General features: G+C 39.5%; 1 protein-coding gene across 1 annotated transcript in view; it reads right to left on the minus strand.

Moving 5' to 3' along the window:
* Positions 1 to 834: 834 nt before the first annotated feature.
* Positions 835 to 20,109, minus strand: part of LOC105372073 (uncharacterized) — a 40,272-nt gene continuing 20,997 nt past the window's right edge. The window contains exon 3 of the mRNA XM_047437984.1: positions 835 to 1,319. Coding sequence (XP_047293940.1) covers positions 882 to 1,319 — 438 coding nt within the window. The 3' untranslated portion in view covers positions 835 to 881. The remainder of the gene's footprint in view (positions 1,320 to 20,109) is intronic.

Below are 20,109 nucleotides of genomic sequence, written 5' to 3' on the forward strand. Positions count from 1 at the left end.
TTATTTGTTATGGAAGAGATGGACTATATCAGGTCTCCATGTTTTTGTTGATAAACTCTCAAGCATTGGGAGATTTATGTCCAATGTGTCTTTCTCTCAGCAGCCTGGCGAAGAGGCAGTGCTGTGCCAGGAAATAGCACCCAGGCAGGACTCCAGGGTGGGGACCGCTAATCTGGCTTTGCCACAAGTGAGTTAAAACCCATTTGAGAAAGTCATGTATCCCAACCTGGTTTTCTAGGTTGCAAGTTGAGCTTAATAATTGTAGCCCTTCTGCTCTGATGAGGCAATTGGAAAGATGAAGGAGATAGCAAGCATGTATATTTAAAGGGAAGGTGGTTGTCACTCTTTATTTCTTCACTCATTCATCCATCAAATATTTCACAGCAATGCACTGGGCTAGCTAATGCATGGATGAAAGGATGATGGGATGGGCACTGTATACCCTTCCCACCCTCACGTGTCTGGTAGGCTTGATGCACATCAATGATGATGGCTGAGAGGTGCAAGGTTACATAAGAGAGATGCAGCACTGGGCTGTGGGGTTCAGAAGCGGGATGGTCTCAGTTGGGAGGCTCCTGAGATAAGGGAAGATGTTGCCTTGAGGAAGCCAGACCTAACCAAAACCAGTGCCTCAGGGGTCTGCAAAGTACCCAGCCGAGGGGCCAGCACAGCTCCAGCAGGCTGCGGACAGTAAGGTAACATCTCCCAGCCAAGGCCATCCTTCATGACCCTTCAGCGTTGAAGCTTGAATTGACCTGACTGGCAGATCCTGAGGATGTGGAGCAAATATTTCTCCTTTTAGAATAAGCTTTAACATTCACACAGAGACAGAAGAAAAAAAAATACAGGCATTTATTATCTTATATGTGCTGTTAATTGATTCATTTTGAGCCTTTTTTGCCTTGCCTCAATGGGGGTTCAGTCTTGTCTTCCCTGGAGGAGCCAGGCTGCAGGCAGGCCCGAAGAGTTTCACTGGGTTCTTTGGATCTCATCTCGCTTACAGCTACTATTTCCAGTAGGCAAAATCTTTTGCTCCAATTAACACCATCTCCGTTGCAGCCCAGTTCCCTCTGTTCTTCTTTCCCTGAGCAAAGCTTCCCAGGCTTGGGGCAGACAAGAGCCCTGAGATCAGGGCTCTTCTGGGAGTTGCTGGAAAAGACCAGAGAGGCAGCTGAGGGTATTTCTGCCAGCGAATCTCCAATTCTATCTTTATACAATGCACACAGAAAGGGAAGGCATCCCTGAATTCCTTCCATTACAGATTGGAATAGCCTTTGACAAAGAGTTAAGGTGTCAGCATAAAATGTAGGATCAAGTCTCTGGAAAAAGAAAAAAGAAAGAAATGTGACAAAGTTTTATTTTTATTTTTTATAAAGGAAAATGCAAGTTCTATTTATTTGGCAAATGGAACGAATGCCGTCTGGAATAACATGACTGCTTTCCTTCTTTTTTGCATAAACAAACTTTCACAACACAGGTGGGAGGCAATCAGGGTGAATTTGTCCCCCCTAACATTGCCAAATTTAGCAAATAAAACTACAGAATGTGTAGTTAAATTTGAATTTCAGATAAAGAATAATTTTTAGTATAAGTATATCCCATGCAATATTTGATATTGAAACTAAAAAAAAATTTGCTCTTTATCTGGAATTCAGATTTAGCTGGGTGCCCTGTATTTTATCTGGCAACCCTACCTTCCATAGGCCTCAAGTTACCACTGAGCCCAGTCAGGAGCTCTGGTTCTGGGGTTGTCCCCTGCCCAGTCCTCCAAGGATCTGCTCTGCTGCTGCCTTCTTTCCAGATTCTTTTTCCAGGGCAACACATCCAGGGTTTCTGTGGGAGATTCTCCTCCTCACAGTACTTACCCCAAAGTCTCTGGCTCCTGGGATTGACAAGAAACAATCATGTAGTGAGGTTTAATAATACATGCAGGTGTGGTCTTCCTTCCAGTGGTCCAGAGCACAGGACTGTCTGTGTTGGTTGCACAGTGGAAATACAGGGGAGCTTTAAAAAAAATGCTGAGGCCTGGGTCTCATCCCCAGAGATTCTGAATTAATTGGTCTGGGATGTGGGCCACCTACTGTGATTTTTTTTTTTTTTTTTTTTTTTTTTTGAGACGGAGTCTCGCTCTGTCGCCCAGGCTGGAGTGCAGGGGCGCAATCTCGGCTCACTGCAAGCTCCGCCTCCCGGGTTCACGCCATTCTCCTGCCTCAGCCTCCCAAGTAGCTGGGACTACAGGCGCCCGCCACTACGCCCGGCTAATTTTTTGTATTTTTAGTAGAGACGGGGTTTCACCGTTTTAGCCGGGATGGTCTCGATCTCCTGACCTCGTGATCCGCCCGCCTCGGCCTCCCAAAGTGCTGGGATTACAGGCGTGAGCCACCGCGCCCAGCCCCTACTGTGATTTTTAAAAGTCTCCCCAGGTTATTCTAGTGAGCACCAAACACTGAAGACCAACTTTAAAGCCACCAGTGCAGAAAAGTGCAGGTCTGGCCTGAAGTCTCATTGACAGGGACTTAGAGAGGGCCTGAGTGTACTCAGGGTTACAAGAGAGAAGAAAGGCAAGTAAATGTCTTGGATGCACTGGTATCTACGAATCATTTTTATGGTTCTGGTCCTCAGACATGTGTGAGGGATTCAAGGAAATGAGCTCTGAGACCTCTGCTGTCCAGAGTCTCACAGCACACATGAGGAGAGATGCTTCCTCTTCTCCACACCCCATCAGTGCTGAAACACTACCTCACATAGAGCCATGGACTGGGGACATCAGAGTCCAGTGTGTGTGTGTGACAGAGTGGGGGCTGGAAAGAGAGGTCAGGATGTGCTGCAAGCCAAGGAAGGCTGGGCAGGAGCAAGACCAGGGCAGCCTCGATGGCCTAGATTCTCATTGCGCTGGCGAGTTGTGAGAAGCTTCAATCCGTCCTGAAATGGGGAAATGACGGCAGGAGAAAGTGACTTGGTATGTGAGGGGGGAAAGGAAGGCAGGCTAATGTGTGAGCTCACCATCAGAGCTGACACTTAAATGTATGCCTTAGAAAGGCAGAGAGTATGAGTGTAATGACAGTAATGAGAGCTGTTATTCCAGTACTATTGAATCTTATCGTAATGTTATTATTACATATAATATATTCTTATTTTTGTTAAAAAGTATAATGATATTAACGATAATTCTGGTTTACAGTTTCTTGTCCAAATCCGTGGGACCATACTTGTTTCAAAATCGAATTTTTCAAACTTCCCAAAGGTAAAGCGATAAATAATGCGTATAAAGCAAAACCCCAGTAGCAACTGGGGCAGTATTCTAACCAAACATACTCACACTTCTGCAGCAAAAGTTATGAACATTGATCCTAAGTGGGGTGAGTAAGCATTATAAAAAGCCTCATGTCTCTCCAGGTCAGGTTTTGAAAAACCTTTTGGTTTTTTAATCTTTTTGGATTCTGTGATTGTGGGCTTGTTATACCTGCCTGCATCATTTATGGAACATTAACTATTTGGTAAGCAGTGCGCCAGACACTTCAAATACATGATCCCATTTAAAACTCATAGCAGCCCTGTGAGGAAAACACCAAACAAACATTATTATAGATAGAAACTGCTATTTCCCCTATTTTATAGATAAAGAAAAGGAAGCCAGCAAGGTTGAACAACCTGCCCAAGCTCTAGGCTCATGGCTATAGAGTAGAAAAGTTAGAACAGGAATTCAAATTCTCTTCTGACTCCAGAGCTGAACTACCCTGCCAGGGGGAGCTGCAAGTGGGGAAGCTTTGGAGAGGGGTACACATAGTACCTGGGTAGACACAGAGACATGCACAGTCATGGTAGTCTCTGCAGAGGTGTGTGTCTATATGCAGAACATGTGTGATTGCTCTTGTGTGAAGCTGTGCGGATGAGTGTGTGTGTACCATAATTTGTGTGCTTGGGTGTCTTTCTGTGCTCCCGCATATCTGTGTGTTGTGGGGGTGTCTTCTTGGTGTAGGGAGTGTATGGGCATGACACCCTGTGTCTTTGTGTTTGTGCCGTCTCTTCTTGACTCTGCATGAGCAGTTCTGGAACAAGGAGAGTTACTCTTGTGATATGTCTGCTTTCACAATGTGTACAGCCCAGGGAGGAGGGTGATTGAGTGGATTTCAGTCATTATCAGGAGAGATGGAGTGTTCCAAGGGAGACCTGGTGATGAAGACTGAGTGCAGGCCCCAAGTGGATGAGTTAGTCAAGGTCAGTGCACAATCACCCATGGGCCCAGGGAGCTCTGGCAAGCACCTCAGTGCGGTCAGTGAACTTCGACTTGGTTCAGTTATTTTTGAGGGGACTGTCCTCTGGATAAATGAAAGAAATCCAGATGTTCTCAAAGGTTCTTAGGAGAAGGAAGAGATAAAGATGAAAGCCTTTGTGGAGACCTTGGTTTTGCATTGTTGGTCTGCATATTGGGAAGTCAGCAGGGCTGCATGCAGTAGGTGGGAAGGAAGGCTGCTGCACAATTGTTTTCTGTTTTCCTGGACCATGCTCTAGAGAGTGAACCTGGGGAGGAGCTGAGACACCCTACTCCCTGGCAAGCAAGTTCAAGTAAGCAATGACCCTGATAATCGGAATTCACAGCTCAGGCCTTGGGCACTGTGGATATTGGATGGCAAACCTCAACACACCAACTCAGGGACAAACAAACAAACAAACAAAAAAAACAAAACCACAAACAAAAAAACCAGCTATATTGCTTAGGGTTCATTGCCAGTCTATATTCTCTATGAACCCCTGACTTGTACTACAAGGAGAGAAAAAAAGGGAAGAAGCTAACACATATTGTCTAATGTGCCAGGTGCCTTGTTAGTCATTTTTCATGCTTTATTTTGTTTCTTCCTGAGAGCTGCTTCTAAGGTAGGTATTACTATTTTATTTGCATTTTAAAGAAGCTCATGAGGGTTAGGTAGCTTATCTCCAGTCATCCTGCTAGCTGGGATTTGAACCCATGACTCTCTAACTACAATCCCTTTATACCACATTGCCTCTGAGTCTCCCCCCTTCTCAGAACACTGTTGCCAGTAGACCCTGAACCATAAACTGCAAACACATTAGTTTTCATTGTTGTAAGTATTTCTTGTGTTTCCTTTAATACAATTATAAAAATTTCAAGTACAGAAGAGATCTGATACTATAGTTGAAAGTTCCCTAAACTGGGACTCAGGAAAACTGAGTTCTAGACTTAGGCCTTTATCGCTTCAGATTCCCTCATCTGGAAAACAAAGTGGTTGGCAAAGATGCTGGTATAAACCCTTTTTAGTTAAAGGTGGGTTAGGTTCTGACCCTGAGAGGGACTTTGTCTTACTTCTGAGTTCCCTGAGAGTCTGTAGCACAGAGCCAGGCATAAGGTGACATTGGCATATGCACTAAATCCTTCATTATATCAAGTGTTGTTAATTCACGGTGATTTTTAAAACCAACAAATGACAAAACACTAACACCGAAAACACAAATTGACAAATAGTTGCTAATGTTCCCTGAGCTCTTATTAGGTGTCAGGTACTCTTTTCTAGGAATGGGGCGGACAGGGACCTTATAACTATTGTGCACTGTGACTTGCTTATTTAAACTCTGCGGTAAAAAGGAAGCTAATGGACCTTCCAACCCTGCTGAAAGCCACCCACAAACACATTGTAGTCAATATCAATTTTCCAATGTATTACTGATTCTAACAGGCATTAATTTCCAAACAAACAATGGTTTCCTTTGGTGATTTCCATACTGCAGATACAACTACCATTTTTGCTGACCTGCTTCTTGTCAGATATTTTTTGACTGTCTATAGAAAGAGAGAACTTATTTTTGGGTGTATTTATTGAACTGAACTGGGAGAAGGGGGATAGGGGATTATAAGAGAGAGAATTGTCAATAACTGTCTCCACCCCTGCTCTGCCCAAAGTTGATGTAAAACTCCCATATCCATGGTCCCTGATTCCTCTCCAATATGTGCTTTAAATTGCTTTCTTCATTTTGCCAGCACCCATACACATCAATTGCATTCACCTTTGGCCTCTATTTCATTTTTGTTTGGCATTGCAAAAGCGCATAAATGCTGGTATGACTAAGGACTTATCTGTGAAGCATTCATTCATTCATTCATCAAATATGTGCAAGGAGCTTAGGTCTGAATGTAAAAAGTGGAGCTCAAGGTCAGAAGGGTCATTGAGGAAGGAGACTGGCCCTGGCATTAGCCGCACCTCCTTCTGAGTGGGATGGGCCCCAGAGGCATTGTGGGTCCATGGAAGTTGAGTTTCCAGGAAGTCCATACTTCCTATGTGCCCTGGGATGGAAATTTGTAGCCCACCCCAGGGGCCTACTCCTGCTCCTTCTTCAGTCCCCCTCTTTTTATTTTGCCATTTCTCTGGCAATTGCATCCCCTCATAGGCTGTAGTTATTATTGCTGTACTGAGTACTCCTGAACATATACTCCATCTCAGGTGTCCAATCTGAGTGCATACTGGGTGTCCTGACTTGCAGGCATCTCAAACTCAACTTCTCCAAACCAACTCCCCGCAACAAAAGACCCTCTACTGTGTCCTTTTTGTCCTCTGTACACCTAACCCACTGATGCCTAAAGGAAACATACGGGTTATCCTACAGTCTTGTTTCCTCTCATTTCTACATCTAATCAGTTAATGACAAAAAAATCCCCCTTTAATTAAAATTAATTAAAGTAATTAATTAAATAGTAATTAAACTATTTTTTAGTTAGTAAACTTTTGTTAAAGTATAATATCCATGCAAAAAGCTTCCATAAGTGCACAATGTGATGGGATTTTTCCCAAGTAGAATATATATCTCTATAACCACAATTCAGATAAAAAAATCAGACCTTTCCTAGCGGAAGTACCCTCCATCACCTCTCAATCACTGCCCCACAAAGGTGATTATTCTCCTGACTTCAAACATCAATGATAAGCCTTGTTTGATTTCAAACTTTCTATAAATGGACTCATAGTACACGTCTTTTTGCCTGGCTTCTTTCACTCAACATTATGCTTGTGAGGTGCATCCATGCTGTTACTCATGATCAGTTGTTTATTTCTCAGTGCTGTGTGGTATTCTTGTTGCATAGCAAGGGAGTATTATTATAAAGTGTGTATCTTCATGAGGCTCTTTGAAGACATACTGGATAGAGTCAAATCATGAGAAGTTTCATTTCATAGAGTACATCTTTAAAAGAAAGGCACACCATTTTGTGATATTTAGTTTTTTAATTTTTATTTTACAATGTTTATTATTATAATGTTTTTTGAGACAGAGTCTCACTCTGTAGCCCAGCCTGGAGTGCAGTGATGCAATTATAGCTCACTGCGATTCCTGGGCTCAAGCAATCCTTCTGCCTTAGCCTCCCAATTAGTTAGGACTACAGGCAGGTGCCACAAAGCCTAGCTAATTTTCTAATTTTGTTTAAAGGTTTTTTTAGCAATGATGCCTGGCTATATTGCCTAGGCTGGTTTTGAACTCTTGGCTTCAAACAATCCTCTCTCCTCGGCCTCCGAAAGTGTTGGGATTATAGGCATGAGCCATTGAGCCCTGGCTATGATGTTTAAAGCTTACCAATAAGGAAGTTGAGGCACTCTGTAGAGAACCAGACAGCTAAGAAGCCAGAAAAAGTAAAAGTGAAACTTCTTCTATTTTCTGGAGTTTGTGCTCTTCGTTGCAGTTTTGAAAGAAGAGTCATGCTTCAATTAATAACAGACAACGGAGTCAATATGAAGGGAGCAGAGACAATGATGTGATCAAATGCCAAGAAATGACTGACAGCAGAAAAAATATCATGTGAGCCAAAGCAATTTCACTTGACTTCTAACTTTATTCATCCAACGAATAACATTTCATCACAGTTTTATCAATGGAATGCAATTCCACCCAGATCATTCTGTCAACGACAAGAAACAGCATCAAATCATTCTGTCCACACAAATAAATCAATTGTTGATTATTATTTTCTTCTATTTGGGATACAAGGAGGACCAAATATTTCGAGTAAAACAAAGGAAAGGAAAGCAGAAAAACTTTTTGTTGTTGTTGACAAATCCAGCTGGGTAAATGCAATTTATGTCTTTTGAAAAAATGCATCCTGATGTGAGGAGGGATAAACTGTTTTTAAACTCGAACCAGGGACAAACTGTAATAATAAACACACTGGAAGAAAATGCAACCATTTATTGGTTCTTGCAGATAAAATAGCATTTCCAGTTTTTTTTTTTTTGTTTTTTTTTTTTGCTGTTGCTTATGTAGTTCTCCTTACTGGAATTCCTCTCCCTTTCTTTGAATGTATAATCACATTTTGAGAAAACACGAAATCTCAGGGTCTTACAAAATCCAACAGGGGAACGTGTCATCTTTAAATGACAAGCTGTGTGGGGAGTACTCTGGTTATGAATTAGGCTGTTTTTCCTAGTACTGCAATTTCTTCTTGCTGCCATTTCGATGGTGTTGAAAGCCCTTTCTCCAGACTTGTAAGTTGGTGGTCCACTACTGAATGGAAAGAAATCTGGTTTTCCATATGTTCTCACTCATAGGTGGGAATTGAACAATGAGAACACTTGGACACAGGAAGGGGAACAGCACACACCGGGGCCTGTCGTGGGGTGGGGGGAGGGGGGAGGGATAGCATTAGGAGATATACCTAATGTAAATGATAAGTTAATGGGTGCAGCACACCAACATGGAACGTGTATACATATGTAACAAACCTGCACATTGTGCACATGTACCCTAGAACTTAAAGTATAATAAAAATATATAAGTATATAAAAATAAAAAAAATCTGGTTTACACAAATTTAATTTCATATTCATGCTACATATGACAAAATTTTGCATCAAGCTTTTTCACTTAGTGTGTTATGCCGTGAGCATCTTCATCAAATTTGCCCTGGGAGGGAGGAATCTTCCAGCAGCATCTGTGTGGAGAATTGTTTTCTCCCTGGGGCCATCAGGAAAAGCTTGCCCTTTGCTGTGATTCCCTGGGCTGCAATGCTTTTACTTAACTGGCTCAGTCCCATTCATAGCTGTCCCCTAAGGCCCCAGCTGTGGTATCAGCAGGGGGTCTAGTGTCTCTCATACTGTTTTTTTTTCCTCCCCAGGACCACTGTGGGAGGAGGTACTTTCTCTTTGTCAGAAGAACAGAAGCAAATGGTCTGCTTATAGCCTTTTATGTGACGATGTGCCCTTTCTGCCACTGCAAGGGAAAGAGTCATCTTTGCTCCTCCATTTTGGTTTATCCTAAGAAAGACCAACACTATGTCTAGCCCAGAGAGAGAAACACATAAAATAAATACAAGTTAAATCTTCAATGGGACATCAAGTTCCATGTACAAGGCTAACCTAGACTATAAAGTCCTTGAAGTAAGTGAATTTATTATATATCTCTATCACTGGACACACTGTTTGCATGAAATGAAGAGAAGCTTAATAAAAGTGTCTTCATAATGACAAAGACAGGGATGATTATTTGTAGATACAACATTTAAAGTATAAATACAGTTCAAGAAGATTTGATTCTAATCGAAACACTTCCACCTAAATAAGAATCCTGATGCAAATAATGACTAGTTTTAAAATGACACCTTTTTTCAGACATTACAAGCAATGCTTAGTCGTTAAATTAAAAAATAAATACCCCGTACGATTTAAGAAGAAAATAGAACACATCTCTATTCCCACCACTTAGCTAACATTTGGTGTGCTTATTCTCTCTGTCTCTGTCTGTCTCTGCCTGTCTCTCTCTTTCATTCTCATTCACTCCTGCCCTCACCTCTCTCTCTCTGTCTTATCTACCTTTGTTTTGATTTTACAAATTTAAGTCCATATTCATGCTGTACATGATTAAGGTTACACACTTAGTATGTACACACTTTTTCACTTATATCATGAACATCTTTGTCAAACTTTTAGAAACATTTTACCAGAGCCCTGTTTTGAAGACATGAAAGTTGTTCTCTATTCATTTTTAAATTAGGGATATATCATATGTGGGTATATTTACACACATATTTTGGAGCACATTTTAAATTGTTTCCTTAGGAAATATTGCTAAAAGTAGATTTAAAAAAATATTAAAGTGTTTGATAAACATTACTATAATATCCTCCAGAAAGTCTGAACTAATTTAAACTCCCATTAACAACATTTGTACATATTTCCATTGCAACCTTGTTAAGAAAGTACTATTTTGATAAACAGACAAAAAGGAAATCACACAGTTGTTTAATTTGCATAAAATACTAAATACTTTCTTCTTATCATTGTTTATTTTTTGTTTCCCTTTTGTGAATTGCCTGCTTATATTCTTGTCCATTTCCTAATGATCTGTAAATGCTTTTTAAAATTTCTTTGGAGAACTCTGATAAATGCTGTGAATATTTTTCCCAGATATTGCTTTTGTTTAAAAATTAAATAATAATTTCTCCTTATAAACAGACATGTCTGATATTAAAATGTAGGTATTCCTCAATAATTTGTTTCCTTTGTTTTTAGATTTCAATCCGATTTTAAAATAACATACATTTTCTTCTGTTTTATTCTTTCTCCTTCCCTTCCTCTTTCTCTCCCTCCCTTCTTTCCTTTTTTTCATTTTACAACTAATTGGTCAGTACTTCTGGGATATGCTATAGAGCAGAAATCTAACATTTTCTTTTCCAAAAATGTAATCAGTTGTCTAAGAGCCATTACATTCTCTTCTCTCTCCCTTGATTTTAAATGTGATCTTGGTCAAATGCTGAACTTTAATTAGCATTAGAGTCTATTTCTGAAGCTGCCTTCCTGTACCACTGGTTCATTTAATAATTTTTGCTTGAGCACCATATGGCTTTAATTACTGAGCTTGACAATATGGTAAGCATCGTTTCAGGTAGTACTAGTCCCCTTTCATTACTCTCTCTTTGAGGGGCTTCTGTGTTTATCCTTCTAGATGAATTTTTATGTTCATTTTGAAGAAAATTTTGCCATTTTGATTAAAATTTATGGAAACATGAATTCTTTTTGGAGAAAATGATATACTTACAGTATTAAGTCCTTTTGAAAAATTATTTCTTCCTACTCAGGAATTCTATTAGTTTCTCCATTTATTTAAAACTCCTTTATGCTCATCAGTAAAGTGTAACAATTTTCTTCATCAAGTGCTACCTACTTCTTACATTTATTGCTAGATATTTTATACATTTGCTGATATTGTTGGTGGAAAGTTGTTGTGGATTGTGGAGTGTGCTGTGTGTTATGTGGATTTTGTATTTGGCCCTAATATTTTGGTTTCTTCTCTGAAGTTTTCCTTTTGCTTATTAAAATATATATTACTCATGTATTTTTTTTTGTTTTGTTGCATTGGTTAGAACTTTCAAAGTATTACGTAAAAACAGGGACACTGCCTGTATTATTTGTATTGCTGCTCATTCTAAGGTAGATGGAGGAATCGTAAAGCTGGACCTTTGGTTTCACCATTTAACCAAGTGTCCAGTTTTAAGAGAGGTTTTTTTAAGGAAGAAAGCTCTATTCTTAGTGTATATATATATATCTTATATATACACATTTACATTTATATATATACAATATATGTAAATTTACATAGAAATGATTTTAACCAGAAATATTATTTTTTATTTAAATATAATTTTTTCTTTAATCTTTAAATTTCTGAAGTTACATTTACTTGATCATGTGTATTGATCTCTATCTTCAGTAACCTTATGATTTTGGTTTGTGTTGATATTTTATTTTGGATTTTTGCACTTGTATTGCCAGTAAGTGGGGTTTAGAGATGTGTGCATGTGGTGGTGGTGTGTGTGTGTGTGAGTGTGTGTATTTAGGAGTGTGCTTTCTCCATCAAGTTTGGGTATTAGGGTTATGGAAAATAACCTAGAAATCTTCTGTTAAGAATATATTCTGGAATATTTTATATCACATGGAGTTTCAAATAACCCACATATTTTTCTGTGCCATTTAGGAGGTAATACGTATTTGCCTTTTGAGATTTTTCTCTGTATTTTTGATCAGTTCAGGTAGTTTTTCTCTTTATGATTAAGTTTTGATTCACTTATGTTTTCCTAGAAAATTGCCCATTTCATCATTGTTATAAAATTTTTAAAAAAATATATGAATATATTTGTTTCCTCATTTTTAATTTTTTGTTTTTGTATCTTCTGTATCATTTACTTGCATATACTTGCTAGATATTTAGCTATTTGGCTTCTCCTTCCAAAGATCTATTCCTAGGATTTATCAATTTTCTCATTTTTAACTCATATTTTTAAATGGTTTTATAAATTTCTGCTTTTTTTGAGTTTATCTTATTTTTCTTCTGATAACTAAGTTGGCATTTTGTTCATTTATTTTCATATTTCATTTTAAATTTTGTAGGCTTTTAAGGCCTCAGATTTCACACTGAAAACATATTGGTTGCCACACAAAAGTTTTATATATAATTTTCCATTTGTTATAATTTTCTCAACAGTCATAAAAACATTTAATTCCAGTGTGATTTAGGAATACCTTTAAATTTTCCAAGTGGTTGTATTTTATTGTTACTTCTCTTTGTTATTCATTTGCAAAATTTCTTCTCTTTGCAATTTATTCAGATTTTTATTATGGCTTAATATAGAATGCATTTTTTTTTTTAGTGCTTCATGTGTATTTGAAAAGATAACAGTGTTCTCTGTTGGTAGTATCTGTAGTTAGATATATTTCTTTAATGGGATACTCAAGATGAAATTTAATTCTAAGAATTTCAAAAACACAATAGAAAGTAAAAGTTGTTGGATAGCACTGATGAGACCAGTGGGCTAGAGCACACACAGCCATTAGAGACATGAGTGATTCCATCTGAAGCTGACAGACCTTCCCACAGTCAAAGCAAAAATTATGAAATGAACCAGTGGTACAGGGAAGCAGCTTCAGAAATAGACTCTAATACTAATTAGAATAGACTCTAATACTAATACTGACAGTCAGTCAGTCAAGGCTGGGGAGGCCAATCTTAGCCTGGAAAGTACAGTAGAGCGCAGCTGGACGGAAAGGTCCAGCTCTCAGGAACAGAGTGAGGCAGGGCAGGGAGGGTTGCTGGAGGAACCCTGAGGGCAGGCCCTGGTTGAGGCCTCCAGAAGTGGGTACATCCGCTGGCAGGGATAGTTGGTCCTCTCTTTCCTTCTTTATGAACTCTCAGTAAATCCTTGCTAAAGGCTGTTATCTGCTCTGGTATCTTCTAGACCTGTGCAGAGAAGGAAGGGGAAATGAGACCTCTGCCAAGGTAAGGGCAGCCTTGGCCCAGTGGCAGGGTACCAAAGATGGTGGCCAAGCAGCTGGAGGTGGTGGGGGTACATGGATGAACAGGAGGGCTCAGTCCTCGGGACTGATGAAGCAGACCTGGGATGAGGAGCCCTGAGGGGCTGTAAGAAACATCAGAGTGCACCTTGAGATCATTATTGCCTTCTAGGGTATAATCATCACTGGAGCCATCAATTGAATTTTATTTTAGACCAGGCTAGCCAGGTTAGAAGACATTTAGATTAGAAATGTTTTAGATAAGCATTATTTGTCATATTATTTGTAATTCTCCACCATTTTCTGACAATGTAATCAGCCATAACCTGAGAGAAATGTGTCCAACTTTTCTGAGGTTACTGTATGACACTTGGTTTTCTCTCATTTGTCAGAGATTTTGCTTTTGTTCTATTATGCTATAACAATGTGAAATGAGGTTGTGCATTTTTTTGTATCTTAATTGTGGATTACACCCATAATCAATCTAAAATGCCCCTCTTGGCCTGTTTAATGCTTTGTTTGCAATTTCTATCCCTGTTTCCTTTTTGTGTGCATACATCTTGGCTAAGTGCTTAGCCTTTATTTCTGACCTTGTTTGAGTTGTAGCTTAAGTATTTTGTATTTTGACCAAACAAAAAAAGCCTTTGTCTATTAATGAGGGAGTTAATTACACTGACAGTGATTTTCAAAACTGATATGGGTAGTGAACATTGCTATTCCCTGCCCAGAATCTTTTCCTTCCTGCCTCGTCTCAAGTGAGCCCAGATATTTATAGGAATTCAGCCCTTGCATCCCAGGAGAACCTGACTCCACTCTAGCTCCCAGGGTGAGCCAGTTGGTCCAAGAGTAATCCCAACTTGTGTCAGTGATTGGCTTAGGAATGGGCAGGTAACTCAATTCTGGATAAGAAATTCTTATCCAATTCTTAAGAAAGCCACAGGAAAAGGTGGTCTTTCTGCTGAGCTGGATCACACTGAAATGGTACTCCTGGAAATGTGATAGATAGCAGCAGTCTTGCTGCCTGCCTTGGGGGAAGTCCTCACAAGGATGACAGAGGGAAGAATTGGGACTCTTGAAAGTATCCCTGAGCTTCTAAATCAATGGTCTCGTGGTTGTCCTACATTTTGTGCTCCTGTTACATAAAATTAGGCAATTTTTTATTTGTTGTTTAAGCCAATTTATTTTATTTTATTTCTTTGAGATGAGGTCTCACTTTGTTGCCCAGGCTGGAATACAGTGGCACGATCATGGCTTACTGCAACCTCCACCTCCCAGGCTCAAGTGATCCTCCCACCTCAGCCTCCTGGGTAACTGGGACCACAGGGGTGCACCACCACGCTTGGCTAACTTTTTTTAGTTTTGGTAGAGACGAGGTTTCACGATGTCACCCAGGCTGGTCTCAAACTCCTGGGCTTACGTAATCCACCTGCCTCAGCTTCCCAAAGTGCTGGGATTACAGGCGAGAGCCACTGCGCCTGGCCATAAGCCAATTTAAATCAGGGTTTCAGCTGCTTATAGAAAGAGCACCGAACCCACACAATATGTTCATTTTAAATATTTTTACCTTTATTTCTTGCTTTTTATGTATTATTTCTCTTTAGTTTTTGGTTTTCTGTTATATGTATGTAGATGACATTTTATTTGCATTTGTTTTCTCCTGTGAATTGCTAAGGATGCATCTTTTTTAATTCTACTAAAAATCAAGTAGCCTAATATATACTCGAGCCTGTATTTTTAGAAGTATAAAAGTCAATATAATAATGATAATTATAATTATCAGTTAGTGTTGTTTGAGCTCTTAATGTAGGTCATGCTATTGTGCTAAGCAATGTATGTATATTTATTAGATTGGTCTTCACAGCAGGATTTGGAGACACAGAAAGTTAAGTGACTTGCCCAAGTAAAGCAGAAACTGTCAGTTGCCTACTCTGTGGATGAAGACATTAATACAGTTTTACTTTATGCCATGCTTTTAACTCTCTATTCATTTCCTGCTTTTGTTGTTATTGGGGAATTTCAGAACTGGAATTTTAATAATTAATTATTTTTGCATTATTTATATTCTTTAAACTAAAATGTTTTCTTTTTTTTTGAGTCCACATTTTCTATAATCATTCAGACTCAATTCTACATTTAAGTGCTTTTGATACTCGCACCATTCCTCTTGAACTGTAGTCTTTTATTCTAAGTTATTTAACACAGTTCCTTTTTGGATTAACTGACACGTTTTTATTCAGAAGATATGTTGTTGTCATAGTTATCACAGAATAACCACTGGGTTGGTTATAGAATTTTCCCCCAAATTCTATGTATTTCTCTCAAGTCTTCTCATACTTAGTGCTGCACAGGAGAAGTTTGAGCCTGTTCTTTTTTCTTTTTTTTTTTTTATCTTGTAGTCTATCTGATTCATTTCTACCCAGATGCTGGTAGTGTTTTTTGTTTTTTTACACAATTAATTTCCATTGCACAAGTAAGTTCTGAAAGCATTGTTCTTCCAAATATTAAAACTGTACAGATATATAAAAAACTCTATTTGATCTCCCTTTTCTGAACTCAAACCCTTTCCCCAGAGGTAACTACTGTGAACATTTTATATGAATCTTTCCATTAAGTTTTCTATGTATTTACACCTACATATCTGTAAATGTGGAAAAGTGTATACTGATATATCTGTAAATGTGGACACAGTATTATTCCAGGGAAAGTGTAACCTGAGAATATATGTCAAATGCATCAGTGAGGAATTTTGAGGGCTGGGGGATGGGTAGGGGCCCAAACAACTCCTGATTACCTGAGAAAGAAGGCCCCACTGCAATAGCAGGTGAATGGGCCAGTGTCAGATGAGGTAGACCTGGACTTCTGATTCACGACTTAATTTACTCCATAGGAAAAGATGAGACCATCTTTTCAAGCTGTGGCTTTGTTCTCCTTGTCAGGCGCAAGTACCCAATCAATAACCGCCTCAGCTCCAGAGCTCATGGAACCAGTAGAGCTTCTCCCCAGATTCTGACCAAGGTGTATTTGTTAGTTAGCACTGTTAGTCTCCTCTTTTCTCATGTTTTTTTCCTATGGGGCTTTAGAAAAAGTGAAGTCCTATACTTAGGTAGGAAGAGGCCATCTTGAGGAAAAAATAGGACAAATTGCTCTTAGTGGCAGTACACCTGGAGTCCCAGGAGAGAATGGCTTAAACAACAAGCCCTACCCCAGTGCACCTCTAATCTTTTGATTAGAAAAGAGGGAGGCCTCTTTTCATGAGAAATCGGATAGTCCCATGAGGATGGTGCTCTCACACTGATGGAGAGCAATTCAGGGAATGAGCTTGGGCCCTACCTGCTCCAAGCTCTACAGAAACGATGCCCGAACTGTTTCCCACCAAGTAGGCCTACTGTGTCCAGCTTCTGATGGATCTCATAAGATTTTGTTTCCCAAGAGAACCAGTTTAGTAAAAATATGTTTTCCCATTTTAACTGCTCCCTTAACTTCCAAAGAGCATGTGATATTCCAGATTATCACACTAAACTGCTGTCATTCCTGGCAACAGCAAAGAAGGCTCTGTTGCATGAGCCAGAGGAGCTTACTGTGGGTAGACAACTCGAGCCAGGCTTTTAGAAGCTTTGAAGATAGAGCAATTTACTGCCTTTAATGACATTCATTTTGGTGTCTTTCATATTTATAAAAAAGGAACAACCAAATAGACCAGGGGAGTGCTGACTTGTACATCTGTTGGGTCTGGCACCTCCTGGTCTTGCTCTAGGTAGGGGGTGCCTTCTGGAACCACCAGTCTAGTGGTCTTCTCCCCACCCACATCCCTCTCCATTTTGCCATCTGCTTTATTCACAACATAATATGTACGGTCTATACTTATCTGATATATGCACTTCTTGCTTGTCCTCCCCCTCCAGAATGTACACTTGATAAGAGTAGGGGTCTTGCCTGCCTTATCCACTGCATAGCTCCAGTCAAGAGAAGTCATTGCCACGGAAAAGGCACCCAACAAACATGCCTTTAACTTGTTGAATGAACCCATCAAATTCCTGATAGTGGAAGTTTGGACACTGGAGTCGCAGGTGGGGAAAGAAACCATGATGCAATAGGACCCCAATTACACGTGGGTTCTGCTTATGTTAGAAAAGCTTCCTGACTTTGTGTGCAGTCAAGTCCTGTGGCTTGTGGCCAAGGGAGGATCTTTTCTTTTTTACCCATGGAAGATGACATTGGTATGTTGGAGTAATGATCCAGAAGATAAACATGAATACAGACAAATTCTGAATTTGGATTCAAATAACAAGTTGCACAAAAACAAGGTAGGAGAGATGTTTCTTGACAATAATTTGTAGAAAAACGTTACGTTTTGGCCGACTCATTGTGAATTAATGGCATGAATAGCTGTTAAAATTTTATACTAGTAATGGAATATCATGTCTAATAATACAAAAAAATCAACATTCTATGTGGCCACGATTTATGCTGCACTAACCATGTACCAAGTACTGTGCTTAATGCTTTTTTATACGTGACTACAACTCCTGAAAACCACATTATTATGTTCATTTTATGAATGGAGAAACTTAGGTTCAAAGAGTTTAACTTGGCCAGGACACAGAGCTAGGACATGATGAAACCAAGTATATCTGACTGAAAAAGCTGTTGTTCTTCACCACTGATTTTCTTGGTGCTCTATGTGGGCCTGAACATATCTAGGACATTTGGACTCAGTTGTAGAAGATACATTTTAAGACAGACAATAACCAAACAGCGGCTTCATAGGGAGGCTATTAGCATATTAAAGAATATGGAAACCACAGCATGTGGGGAATGTTCAAAGAGAAGGGGGATGTTTTGTGCAGAGGAGAGACAATGGGAGGTGGAGGTCAAGAATGAAAGGGTATCAAATGGAAGAGAGCAGACATGTCCTGTGTGGCTCCAAATGGCAGAACTGGAATAGCAGATGGAAGTTACAGTGAAGCAGATTTCAGCTTGACACAAGAACTAACTTTCTAAAGAACAGAGATGTGGGATGAAGCTCTTGAACTCATCCCCCTCCTCCCTCCAAGCCTGAACAGCCATCTGTCAAAGATGTTGGATTTCAGGAAGGAGAACCTTCCACCTCTAAGAGTCTGAGATTTTCTAGACGAGTTTAAAGTTTATTTAAAAGAAAGGTAAAGACCATTTGAGCTGATTTAACATGAATCTTGTCTGGGGGCTGGGGGACTATATTAGAGTCTGAGTTCCTTTCAGCCTTTTGAGCAGGTAACTCTTCTATTGGGGCCATAACTGAGGCATATTTTAAATCAGAAAGGGAGAATATCGTTTTTATTCTGAATCTGAATACTCCTTAAAAATAATAATTGTTGGATGGTATTTTTGTATTTAATTCATTTCAGTCTTTCCTGTGTGTTTATTTTGTGTTCAGCCCTGCATAGGTGATAAATTTGTAACCATACCCCCTCTCTAGCCCATCCCTCTTTAATACCACCCTAGGACAAGACCATGAATAGTCCTGCCTTTCATGGCGCCTCCAATTCCTCCTTTCCCTGAGGTACATACAGGCATTGTGCATACAGAAGTTACCTGTGTTTGTAATTCACAAACCCCAAAGAGCAGTGAAGAAAAAAGGAATGAATCCTACATGATTACAAAGAAGGAGGGGACAAAGCTGGCTCCAGGTGCATTTCTACACAGTGTGGGTTGAATTTTCTCTAGAGAAAGTGTGCTTATTATTGGTTTCTCACCAACCTTGTGGTGCAGAGGGCATCTACAAAGTGCTAGATGAAATAGGATCATGTGCAATTTCATAAGGTGTTCAAAGGGGATATAGAACCTTGGTATAAGATTTGAAGAGCCCCATTCCCCGAAATCGTCCTTCTGTGGACCTGAAATCTTACAATTTTATCACTGTTCTTCTGAGTTAAGCATTTCCCTACCTATTCTTCTAAAGGCAATTCACCCGGGAGATAAATTACCTTAGCTCTTGATGTCAGTATCAGAAAGGGAGTCTTCCTCCAGGAGGCAGTAGTAGTTTATTGATTACTTGCTTCATGATAGGTGCTGTCCTAAGCTCGTATCATTTTAGTCTTAGTTAATATTCACAACAGCACTATAATTATATACTATTACTATCTGCATTTTACAGAGGAGGAGACTGAGCCTTAGAAAGGTTAAGTACTTTGTCTAAGTTCACACAGCTAGTAAATGGTGGAGTCTGGATTTGCCTTCAAAACCTATATTCTTAACCAGTATGTAACACTGTTGCTAGTGGTCTCTAGATATAATAATTATCTGACTCTCAGACACAGGAGAGAGTTCAGCTTAAGAATGCTATGTGTGTGTGTTGGGGGAGGCGGGTAGGAGACACAGGGAGGTTTTATTGTGAATTAACCCTAAATCCTAACCCTAGGTCAACTATTAATCTAAAATTTATCTGAGATGGTTAATGTAATGCTGACTTCTGACATAGTAAGGTCATCATTAGCATTTTACTATTTGCCTCAAAGTCAACTGAAGTACATATCAGGAAGTAATTACTTATGGACTAACCCAGCTACATTCTCTCTCCCTTCCTCCCTCCTTTCCTTCCTTCTTGCCTTCCTCCCTCTTGTTTCCTCCCTTCTCAGGTACTCAGTTATTTCTGAGTATTGCTCTGTGCGTGGCACTGTGCTGTACATTGAGGATATGAAGATGAGTAAGTCTCAGTCTATATCTTTAGAGACCTCACAGCCTGGAAAGAGAGTTAAAAAATAATTACTATTCAACATGGCAATGGTTATAAAGGAGCAGATTTTCCAAACTGGTGTTTCAAGGAACATTCTTTGGCAGGATGTTAAGTAAG

The sequence above is a fragment of the Homo sapiens genome, chromosome 18 (assembly GCF_000001405.40).
Source record: "Homo sapiens chromosome 18, GRCh38.p14 Primary Assembly".
Lineage (NCBI taxonomy): Eukaryota > Metazoa > Chordata > Mammalia > Primates > Hominidae > Homo > Homo sapiens.